The 12,204-nt window shown below is 37.1% G+C and overlaps 1 protein-coding gene across 35 annotated transcripts in view; it reads left to right on the forward strand.

Moving 5' to 3' along the window:
* Window positions 1–12,204, forward strand: part of CSPP1 (centrosome and spindle pole associated protein 1) — a 132,247-nt gene that overhangs the window by 13,926 nt on the left and 106,117 nt on the right. For 20 of the 35 annotated variants that reach the window (XM_011517599.3, XM_047422249.1, XM_047422246.1 and 17 more), the window contains exon 4: window positions 7,714–7,817. In XM_011517599.3, coding sequence (XP_011515901.2) covers window positions 7,714–7,817 — 104 coding nt within the window. Of the gene's footprint in view, window positions 1–5,554; window positions 6,046–7,713; window positions 7,818–8,529; window positions 8,554–12,204 lie in introns of those variants that run through there. The other 15 variants (XM_011517598.3, XM_047422253.1, XM_047422245.1 and 12 more) reach the window with 2 other exon arrangements.

Below are 12,204 nucleotides of genomic sequence, written 5' to 3' on the forward strand. Positions count from 1 at the left end.
TGGCTGGCACGTAATTGGTACACAATAAATATTAATTTCTTTTTCTCCTTAACATCTTTTTTTTTTGAGACAGGATCTTACTTTGTCGCCCAGGCTGGAGTGCAGTGGCATAATCTTGGCTCACTGCAACCTCCACTGTCCAGGCTTAAGTGATTCATCCTCCCTCCTCAGCCTCCAAGTAGCTGAGACCACAGGTGAGCACCACCATGCTGGCTAACTTTTTTTTATATACATATATTTTCTGTAGAGGTGGTGTTTCGCTATGTTGCCCAGGCTGGTCTGGTCTCGAACTCGCTAGCTCAAGCCATCCGCCTGCCTCGGCCTCCCAAAGTTCTGGGATTACAGGTGTGAGCCACTTGTGCCTGGCCTTCCATCTTTTTAAAAGTAGTTTTTCGGGCTGGGCGTGGTGGCTCACACCTGTAATCCCAACACTTTGGGAGGCTGAGGCCAGCAGATCACTTGAGATCAGGAGTTCAAGACCAGCCTGGCCAACATGGTAAAACCCCATCTCTACTAAAAATACAAAAAAATTAGCCCAGCATGGTGGCGCAGGCCTATAATCCTAGCTACTTGGGAGGCTGAGGTGGGAGGATCACTTGAACCTAGGAGGCGGAGGTTGCAGTGACCGAGATCATGCCCCTGCACTCCAGCCTGGGTGACAGAGAGAGACTCCATCTCAATAAAAAAAAAGAGTAGTTGTTTGAATTGTCTTAGGAATTATTCTTTGATCATTACATTCACATATTATGGAGAGTTAACAGTATAACTGAAAGATGGTGACCTCTGCCTTTTCATTAATTGGTGTTACTTCGGCCTCTGACCTAGGCTGACTTCTCATCTTATACATTCCCCGAGTGTCCATATCTGCTCACAGGGCTTTATTTACTGTTAGTGTGTTCATGACTTCTGAATCTGTATCCCCAGTCCCAGGTTCTATTGCGAACTTGACCCATATGTCTGATTTTCCATTGGACATCTGTACTTGTATGGTCATGTATGGCATGGGCTCAAAATCAAAATTTGCAAAATTAACTTATACTCTTGTCAAACTTTCTAGTGCTCCCCATCTCACTGAGCTGGCTGCCTAGTCATCCTTGATTCCTGTCTTCTCCTGTCTCCTATATCAAGCAGTTACACAAGTCTAGTTGATTCTAATGCATAAATCTCAAGTAAGGTCACTCTGCTGTAATCCCACTGACTTTCTTTTATGAGGCCTCTGTTGTCTGTCAGATTTTTGTAAAAGCTTCCTAGTGTTTTTGGTGGTTGTTTTGTTTTACAGTCTAGCCCCGTGTATCAAATCTCTATGTTTTCTATATATTTGCATAAAACAAATCTGATCATATTAGTCTCTGCTTCAAACCCTTTGATGGCTTCTTTTTTTCTTATATGATAAATTTGCCATCTTAATACTTCTGCTAGATTGGGTTGGTCAATCCTGTCATGTGCTTCTAGAGGATTTGTTCTCCTCTTGAAGAGTAGTTTTGAACTTATTCAGCTTCTCTTTTGTACCACAATGACATGCCAACTTGCATCCCGTTGTATTTCCACTGCCTAGCACAGTGCGCAGCACTTACTGCTTGGAAAAGTTGTTTTAAACCAACGGGTTAATGTCCCCATTGCAAAAATAAAACCAATTCTCTTGGGTGTGTTGACTTTAATTTTCATGGAATGCTTCTTCCATTGCCATCTGAAACCATTTGATGCACATGGAATTTTATTAAAGAACAATATATAATTGACTAATTTTATACTGCATAAGCATTTAGTTACTGACCTCCTGCCTGATTAATTGTGGCTTTAAAATTCAGTCAAATACATAGTTTCTCACACTGGGAAAAATGTAAAATTATTTGGCAACTAAGGGTTTTCCTTAAGTGGTCTCATTTAGGAATTATAAAAAACAGGTCTAATATAGGTCAGATTTGGAAATGAGGTATTGACTTAAAGCACTGTAACATCGTAGTTTGAATAAGTAATTAAGCATAGTGTAGTAATCAGTGATATATAAACTGGACATACTCATTTTATCCAATGAAAACAATCTATTGATAGCTCATAGTACAACTATCATACAACACTATGATTTTATAAATTCTTTTCTGTTAGATACTGATGATATTCATGGTTAATTCCATGTGGCTCTTTCTACCACCATTTATACCTTTCATAAAAGGATTTGAGGTAGCGTTACAGTGACTTCTGACACCAGCTACCTGGAGTTGGACCAAACTTCACAGGTTAAGGGCATAGGCCTCCACAAGACTGCCTTCACTTCAGACTCCAGCTGCAAGTTCAAGGGTCACCAGGACACCTTCAGGTCTGACCATCTGGCTATAAATTTGGGGGTTTCCCCTATCCCCTCAAGTTCAATAATTCATAAGAATGACTCACAGAACTCAAGAAAGTGCTGTACTTATGGTCACAGTTTTATAGCATAAGTATACAAATTAGAAATAGCCAAAGGTTGAGACACATAGGGTAAGGTCTGGGACGGTCCAAACATTAATTATCTGTTAGTCTCAGGGAGACATTACCCTCCTAGCACATCAGTATGTGACAGGATACAGAATATTGCCAATCAGCCTCACCTAAGCCTGAGTGTCCAGAGTTTTTACTGGATTTTCCTTATGTAGGAATGATTGGTTGAATTGTTGCTCCTTGGCTTGATCTCCAGCCCTGCTGTATTCATTCCCCTTAGGCCTGGCTGATGTCACATGGCGCAAAGGCCCAACCCTCAAATCACATGGTTGGTTTTTCTGGCATGACCAGCTCCCGTTTTTGTCTTCTCTGTAGCATAAACTCTCTAGGGGTTCACAATGATTCACTTCGTTAGTATAAACTGTTAGGTATGGTCCAAGGTACCCACTGTGAATAATAAAGACATTCCCATCATCTGGTAAATTTTAAGGTCAAACCCACTAGGGGCTCACAATGATTTACGTTGTTCGTGTAAACTATTAGGTGTGGTCCAAGGTGTCCACTGTGAATAATAAAGACATTCCCATTGTCTGGAAAATTTTAAGGATTTAGAGGTTACCTCCCAGAAACTGGAGACAAAGGATTCAATTTTTTTTTTCTTTTTTCTTTTCCAAGCCAATTTTTTAATTACACATAGGATGTACATGATTTAGTTCATATAAGCTAATGAAAAAATGTCTTTAATAAGGAGTTTGTCAGAATACTAGTAATATTAAATTAAGAGAAAGTCACCTGAAAGTGATCTATAAAAGATCTTTTATCTCCCTAAACTGTTTCTAGGCATAATGTTTGTGTTTATTTCATTAAAAGAAATTCTTACTAACTTATTATTGTTTAACAACCATTACTGGTATTATTAACAATAATCAATATTGTTGAAATACTTATATTAATCATTTAAATGCTCCCATTAATCTTTTAAAAATGTTTTGATACAAATGTGTCAAGGTCTTAAAACATGTAGTTTCTCCCCACCACCCAGTTTTTTTAAGGGAGAGGATCTTGCTCTGTCATCCAGGCTCGTGTGCAGTGGCACCATAATAGCTTACTGCAGCTTAAAACTCCTGGGCTCTGGGGATCTTCCTGCCTCAACCTCTCGACTAGCTAGGACTACAGGCTCAGGCCACCATGCCTAATTTTTAAATTTTTTGTAGAGATAGAGTCTTGGTATGTTGCCCCGGCTGGTTTTGAACTCTTGGGTTCAAACGATCCTCCCTTCTCTGGCTCCTAAGTAGTTGAGACTATAGGTTTGTGCCACTGCATCTGTCTAGTTGTAGTTTTAATTATTTGTTTTGAGATAGAGTCTCGCTCTGTTGCCCAGGCTGGAGTGCAGTGGCGCGATCTCGGCTCACTGCAACCTCTGCCTCCTGGGTTCAAGCTATTCTCCTGCCTCAGCCTCCTGAGTAGCTGAGATTACAGGTGCCTGCCACCACACCCAGCTACTTTTTTTGTGCTTTTCATAGAGACAGGGTTTCACCATCTTGGTCAGGCTGGTCTCGAGCTCCTTACCTCAAGTAATCCACCCACCTTGGCCTCCCAAAGTGCTGGGATTACAGGCGTGACCCACAGCACCCAGCCTTGTAGTTTTAATTATCATTCCTCTTTGTCTTAGGTTTATCCTATTGTAAACTAAATCACAGATACTCTTCTACAGTTTTTATTCATTTTGTATGAGTGAAATGGGTCCTTGTAGTGATACCTTTATAGCTGAAATTTAAGAGTACAGTGTCTCCTCAATTAGTCACATCTCCTTGTAAGTCACCCATTGTGTAAAGGCCTATTATTATTTCCTATAATTTGTCTTTTGATTATTTTTACATAATGCTTTTTCATGGTAGTATAATAATGAAAAGAAAGTAAATGTTCTATGGTAATTTGTTTCATAGAGTAATTATGATGAATGCTCTGTTAGAAGGTAAATTAATTATGAAGAAGTTATATACTTTAGTCTTAAGTATTTTATGTAAGCCACAACTGTTATAGAAACCAAATACTTCTAATTACTATAGTTCTGAAGCATAATGTTAACTATCTTAGGGTCATTGATGTTATACTTGATGAAGTGACATCACTTCAAATGACCCTAAAATGACACAAATGCTTTACTTGCTGCTAGATCCATCAGAAGACAACAGGCACAATAAGTAAGCCTCACCGTGTTCCTTAGCTCATTAAGTCAATTGAGATGCTATTGTTAATGCATGGTTTAAAAGAATAGGATATTTACATTGTTCTATACAGTTCCTAATTTTATGTCTGTGACTTACCTCTAATGCCATAAAATGTTGGTACAAGATGACAAAATAAGAATTAAAAAGTTAGTGTTTTCTGTTGACTAAACATTAAATTAATAAAGTTATAAATAACTCAGAAGGCATTATATATTGTTACTTGTCAAGACAATTTTACAATACTATTTGAATTAATAGTGAAAAACAAATACTCTTAGTAAATAAAAATTTAACTTAATATGAATAATAGGCCGGGCGCAGTGGCTGAGGCCTGTAATCCCAGCACTTTGGGAGGCCAAGGTGGGCGGATCATGAGGTCAGGAGTTTGAGACCAGCCTGGCCAATATGGTGAAACCCCGCCTCCACTAAAAATACAAAAATTAGCCAGGTGTGGTGGCAGGTGCCTGTAATCCCAGCTACTTGAGAGGCTGAGGCAGGAGAATCACTTGAACCTGGGAGGTGGAGGTTGCAGTGAGCCAAGATTGCGCCACTGCACTCCAGCCTGGGCAACAGAGTGAGACTTTGTCTCAAAAAAAAAAAAAAAAAATATATATATATATATATATATATATGTATATATGAATAATAATGTAAATGAAAATGAATTATGTTTTTCTTTCCATTCTTCCACATAAACCCCCAAGTAGAATTGAAAAACAGCAGTAAAAGCCACCTTAAACTTACACTTTTTGTAAATTTGTAAATTGCTTGTTCCTGGATGGGCAGGTAGTGTGTTGGCATCATCCTGGCAGCATTGTTGTCTTTTACTCCTTGGCACAATAGAACATCCATTGTGACCCTGTGTGACTAGTGATATGTAACTTTGGTAACTACCTCTCTCTATGCAGTCAGACCGCTAACAGGAGAAATGGAATATTAAGTATAGTATATTGTTCCCCCTCACCTTTTCTCATTTCTTCCTCTGTCTCAGGCACTCATTCATATATTCATTTGCAGATTTATTCAATGAACATTTTCTTGGGTTAAAGTTATGTGCCAGCATTATAAAATTGAATAGCGCATGGGCCTTGCCTTCATAGATTTTATAGTTTAGTTTTATATATGATGTTCCATTCTGAACATGAGAATCAAAACTTTCTCTCCTTAGGCTTAAATTCTGTATCTTTAAAAAAAGGTTTAGATTCCTTCAAAAGGAAACAGTTCCTTTCTAGGATGATTTAAAATTCCAAGCATATGGAATGCTTTAGTTTCTTTTGGAAGAGAGTTAGAAGCATGTGTAAGAGGTGTCCCTAAGGAATCCTCTGTTATACCCTCTATCATCAAGGAGTTAAATAGGCCAGAAATGTTTATCAAGAGAATTCCAGTGTTGATAGCGGTAAGTGGATTTTAGTATTCTGTAAGAATCCATAAACATCCACTTATGTTTATATTACACTGGCCTTTTCCCTGCCTGAAATGTTTCAGTGATGTAGTAAGCAGTGATATGACACATTCTTGAAAAGTTCCCATCATTCAGCTACATTGTGAGAAATAAGGCACAAAATGGTGATTTTTATATCAGTTTATAAACTACAGTCAAATTTTATTTCATCTATAGTGCTCATAGCTGAATCTTTAAGGAAAGTTTTGGCCAGGCGTGGTGGTGCATGCCTGTAGTCCTAGCTACTCGGGAGGCTGAGATGGGAGGATTGCTTGAGGCCAGGAGGTTGAGGCTGCAATGTGCCATGATCACGCCACTGCACTCAAGCCTAGGTAACAGAGCGAGACCCTGTCTAAAGAGAGAGAAAAAAAAAAAAGCCAAGTTTTATTTTGTTTAGAAATGATAATTTTTTAATACTATAGTATTATGTGTATAGTAGGACTAAAAAAGGGATGAAGCTTCAGATCTGAATACTCATCTAATGTCTATGCTTCTTGACATAGTATTTTATTATTGAAGGTTTGAAAAGTATATAATTTGATTTTTGATAGCTTTGTTGAGATATAATTTACACACCATAACATTTACCTATTTAAAGTGTACAATTCAATGGTTTTTAGTATATTTACAAGTTGTACAGTCATCATTGTCATCATCCCTAAATGTAATTTGATTTTTAAATTTTGTGTAAGGAAATACTACTCAAATTCGAAGTTTTTCTTCAAAAATTAACATCCATTTACAGAGTTTCTGTTTGGGATGATGAAAAAATTCTGGAAATGGATAGTGATGATGGTTGTACAACATTGTAAATGTACTTAATGCCACTGAATTGAATGCTTAAAATGATTAAAATGGTAGGTTTTATATTATATACATTTTACCACAATAAAAATTAATATCCATTTTTATGAAATCAGAAGTGGTTTAACTTTAGAAGTTTTTAGGAATTTCATCCTATCTGAATGCTCTTTGATACAAAAAGAAAATTAAAAAAAAAAAAAGAAATGTGATTCTAAGCAACACATGGCCCTAATAATTTTTTCTCAGAAACATGTTATATTAAAGATATTCTTGTATGCTAAAAAAAATCATGTTATTAGTTTTCCTAGACTGAAAATGATGCATTAAAATTGTTGTTGGTATTTATTTTTATAGAAATTAGTGTATAATTAAGTGAAGATGTAAAGATAATTAGTTTTTCTTTAATTTTGCTGTTCTTGAGAAAGCAAGATGCCAAACAATGCTGGACTACTTGTCTTAACTGGAGGAAAAAGTGAATATAATGCACACATGCATATAAATATGTATATGATAATATAAAAGTATCTGTTTATAGGTGCATTAAAAAATTATCTGCATGGAGACAAGAAATAACAATGTTTGTTGTTCTGGACAGGAGAACAGGGTGGCTAGGGCTCATGGATGAGAATGATATTTTTGATAATATTTTTGATTATCTGAATGTATTATCTATTGAGACATTTTAAGTAAAAAACTTACCCTAATCCTACTCTTGGAATAAGCATAATTCTGTTCCTTCTTACTGTGCTTTGTTACAGGAAGTAGAACTTTGAGATTGGTTTGAAAATGAATTATACTAAGAAGTTGTTTTTTTTCTAGGAATTGATTATGGATTAAGTTTACCACTTGGAGAAGACTATGAACGGAAGAAACATAAATTAAAAGAAGAATTGCGGCAAGATTACAGACGTTATCTTACTCAGGTAATGAGTTCTATTAATGAGTTGGGTTTAATGTTTCAGAATTCAGCTCCTAAATTTGTTTTCATAAGGTATTAGTCATATGTGTTAATTTTTAGGTTTTCAGTGGTACTAGCAAAGTAGTAGTATAGTCAAAGTTAAGTGGCATATATGACATTGGTAGAGAAAAAAATATTGCTGAGAACCGGTGCCATAGAATGATACAGACTTTTGACCTTTTGACTAAGGCAGTGGATTCTAATTTTAAGTGAGATCGTTAATTATGGTTTTTCATGTTTTCTGTAAAGTTGTCATGGTTTGAAGTAGTCCAATCATGGTTTCCCACTCTTCTACACCCCCCAACTATGTATTAAAATGACATATGGAGTTCTAGTTGCTAATTATTTTCCTATGAGCCAAGCTTATAAAATTACATTTAATTATTTAGCCACTAAAGCTTTTGTTTTATGATCTCATGTTTTACTTAGCAGAACTCTTGAGTATTTTTGTTAAATTATATAATGGCCAAAGTAAGGTTTATTGTAAGTTTTAAATTTAGGTTATAAAATTATTTTAAACAATTATGATATTTGTTGTCATCTCAAAATATTCTTTAGTTTTTTACTGCTTTATGTTTGTTCCAAGTGTACAAATGTCTCTTATTCTGATTTACACATGGAGAGAATGAACTTTGACTTAATACACTTTGTCAATGGTTTGTTTCCCTTGACTTTAGGGCATTACACAAGGGAAAAGAAAGGTAGGGTTGTCTGCAATACGTCCTCCTTCAGTTTTTTCTTTCTTTTTTTTTTTTTTTACGATCTAGAAGGTTGCAATCATTTGCATTTATGAGATTCAAACCAATTAGGAAAACGGGTTCATTTGTGATTTTGAGATGTTTGAATGGCACCATTTTGTATTCTTGCTTTTAGCAGATGACAGCATACACATTATAATTTTCCGTTAATATAGTCATTACTTTTGATTCCTGCTTTGCATTTGTGTTTATTGCTTTCTTATGCATTCTTTTTGAATATTCTGCAGTTAAGTCTGTTTTCAGCATGCAATTTTTTATTTCTCAAATTACACTAATCACAGTAAGATTAATAGAGTAGTAGAATATCCAAGATATTTGAACTACATGTTGTGAGAATTTGGATTACTCTGTTTTTCCACCAAAATCTATAGATTGCATTGTCCATTTATATTGGAAAACAAAGAGAAACAGTTTATGGTTTTACAAAACTGGTTTTAAAAGGAATCTCACAGATTCACCATTCAACTAACATATTTTAAACACTTATTATGAAGATATATCAGGTATGCATCCTGTCTTCAAGAGGCTTAGAATTTAGTTGTAGAGATAGCATTCATACGATTCAGAAAGTGGTAACTACAAGAAGGATATAATGATCAAGATAGTCCTCATAGTGGGAATTTCTATTTTGTGAGGCAATCTAGATTTGGGTGATCTGGAGAGAGAATCGAAGCGAGAAAGCTTTTCAGATGGAAAGCATAGAGTAAAGGAGGACCTAGAGGGTAGACTTTAGCTTTGTATGAATGAGGCATATTAGGTTTACCAGCCTGACTGGGTCAGAGTATCATTCTTTTTGAGAGTAGTAAGAAATAATGATGTATATAGGATAGGATCAAATTAGAAGGCAGTGGATTTTTAACTTGTTATATGTAATAGTCAGTGATGAGCATCATACTTTCTTAAATAGCTTGTGAAGAGCATGGTAACTGTGTTTTAGGACAGTTAGTTCTGCATGTAGAGACTCTCATTGTGTTAAATTGCTGCCCAACTTCTTAACTGATTTCCTCGCGCTAATTTTCACTTCACCCTCCAAGCTATTTTCCAGAATGATTCAGTCCCTAACTTATTTAAATATGTCAGTATCCTCTAACTGCCTCCAGGATAAAAATTCAAATTCCTTAGCATGGCACATGTCTTTCGTGTTCCAGCCTGACTCCCTGGGCTTATACCTCATTATCTTCCCCTTCCCTACTTTTTCTTATTGGGTGGAGTTTTCCTCTGGTATCAGATATCTACCATTTTCTCTTGTAGGTTTTGCATTACTCCCTAGGTAAGATTTTTAAAAAGGATAGTGGTGGGGGACATGAGAAGAAATTGCCGTCATGAAAGTACAAATCTTTAAATTCAAAGGGATGTGAAGGAGTTTTTTAAGATTTTTTTGTTTGTTTTTTGGTTTTTTTTTGAGACAGAGTCTTGCTCTGTCGCCCAGGCTGGAGTGCAGTGGTACGATCTTGGCTGACTGTAATCTCAGCCTCCTGGGTTCAAGCGATTCTTTTGCCTCAGCTCCCGGAGTAGCTGGAACTACAGGCGTCCACCACCATGCCTGGCTAATTTTTTTGTACTTTTAGTAGAGACGGGGTTTCACCATATTGGCCAGGCTGGTCTCAAACTCCTGACCTTGTGATCTGCCCACTTCGGCCTCCTAAAGTGCTGGGATTACAGGCATGAGCCACCGCACCCGGCCAGTTTTTGAGATTATTAAGAATATAGTCGGCCGGGGGCACGGCTGACGCCTGTAATCCCAGTACTTTGGGAGGCAGAGGCGGGCAGATCACAAGGTCAGGAAATCGAGACCATCCTGGCTAACACGTTGAAACCCCGTCTCTACTAAAAATACAAAAAAATTAGCCTGGCGTGGTGGCAGGCGCCTGTAGTCCCAGCTACTCGGGAGGCTGAGGCAGGAGAATGGCGTGAACCCTGGAGGCGGAGCTTGCAGTGAGCCGAGATCGCGCCACTGCACTCCAGCCTGGGCGACAGAGTGAGAATCCGTCTCAAAAAAAAAAAAAAAGAATATAGTCTTGTAGAGGAGCACTATTTCCTTAAAATTAGAGAGACAGTCTTTTGTTCACATTTGAGAAGGTGGGACTGGAAGGGAAAGCAAGAGAAAAAGAAAACTACACAGACTATAGGGAGCTGGCTGCAGCTTCCTGGACCCCCTGAAATATGTATGGTTTCCAAGTCCCACTCATATCTCTTGTGGCTTCCAGACTTGGATTGCATGGATATTTGAGTTTTTAAAAAAAATCAAATCTTTTAATTTTGTCAAGAAGAGTTATTAAAACAAACAACTACCATCTTTTTTCGTGTTTTAATTAATTTTTTTTTCCTGTGCCCTTCCTGCCCAGAGATGGTTTCCTGTTTTTAGAATAAAAGATGCTTGACCATCTAAACACAGAAAAGACATGTTCTCAGGGGAACAGTTTTTAAATTGAGTCAGTTAATTAATATCCCCAGCCCAGACCTCCATCCTGAACTTCAGAGTTTTCTAGCTGGCTGCATAATTCACATTTTCACTTTGAAATCTACCTGATATCTTATGTAGACCATGTCCAAAAGAGAATTCTTGATTTCTGTTCTTCCCACCCTCATGGCTGATAAACCTGCACTATCCGTAGCCTGTCCTTTTAATTTCCTTTTTGTCACAGTAATTATTACCTTCTAGCATGCTGTATAATTACTCCTCATTATGTTTATTATTTCTTTTTCATTTTCCCCAGCTTGAATGTATGCTTTTGGAGGACAGGAATCTTTATCTGTTTTTTTCAGTCCCAAATGTATCAGAAAGTTTGGGCACATGGTAGGCACTCAGTATTTATTGAATGAATGAATGAATGAATGATTAAAATTTAGCTTTTTGAAAAAACTCACTATGTTGTTCTTTTTTTAAGAATTAAAGTTTTTTTGGTAGAGACAGGGTAATAAAAAAAAGTTTTTTTTTTGTTTTTTTTTTTAAATACTCAAGCTGGTCTTGAACTCTTGGGCTCAAGTGTCCCTCCTGCCTTGGCCTCCCAAAGTGCTGGGATTACAGACATGAGCCACCACTCCCTGCCTATGTTGTTGTTATTGTTTATTCTTTTCATTTTATTGAAAATTTCAAACATCATTCTTGACCCATGTTTGGAATGGGAAATTGCCCAGTGAAGGAGTGAGGATGTTAAATCTATCTTCCTGGTTGGAACTATGAATGGGTTTTTCATGCATTTATAACTCTACAAAATAATTAGGTTTATAGTGTACTTCAGTATATAGGAGGTAAAATCACTCAGGGATCTGGTCATGTGTCTTATTTTTTCCTTGTCAGGTAAGTTTAGAGTTCCATACAGCCAACTTTCAAATTAGCTTTTGTAGCACAACTCATTTGTAAATTCAGATTTAATGACACTTTATTTATTTATTTTTGAGACAGATTCTCACTCTGTCACCCAGGCTAGAGTGCGGTGGTGCTGATCTTGGCTTGCTGCAACCTCCGCTTTTTGGGTTCAGGTGATTCTCCTGCCTCAGCCTCCCAAGTAGCTGGGACTACAGGTGCGCGGCCCCAAGCCCGGCTAATTTTTTGTGTTTTTAGTAGAGGGGGTTTCGCCTTGTTGCCCAGGC

The sequence above is a fragment of the Homo sapiens genome, chromosome 8 (genome assembly GCF_000001405.40).
Source record: "Homo sapiens chromosome 8, GRCh38.p14 Primary Assembly".
Classification (NCBI taxonomy): domain Eukaryota; kingdom Metazoa; phylum Chordata; class Mammalia; order Primates; family Hominidae; genus Homo; species Homo sapiens.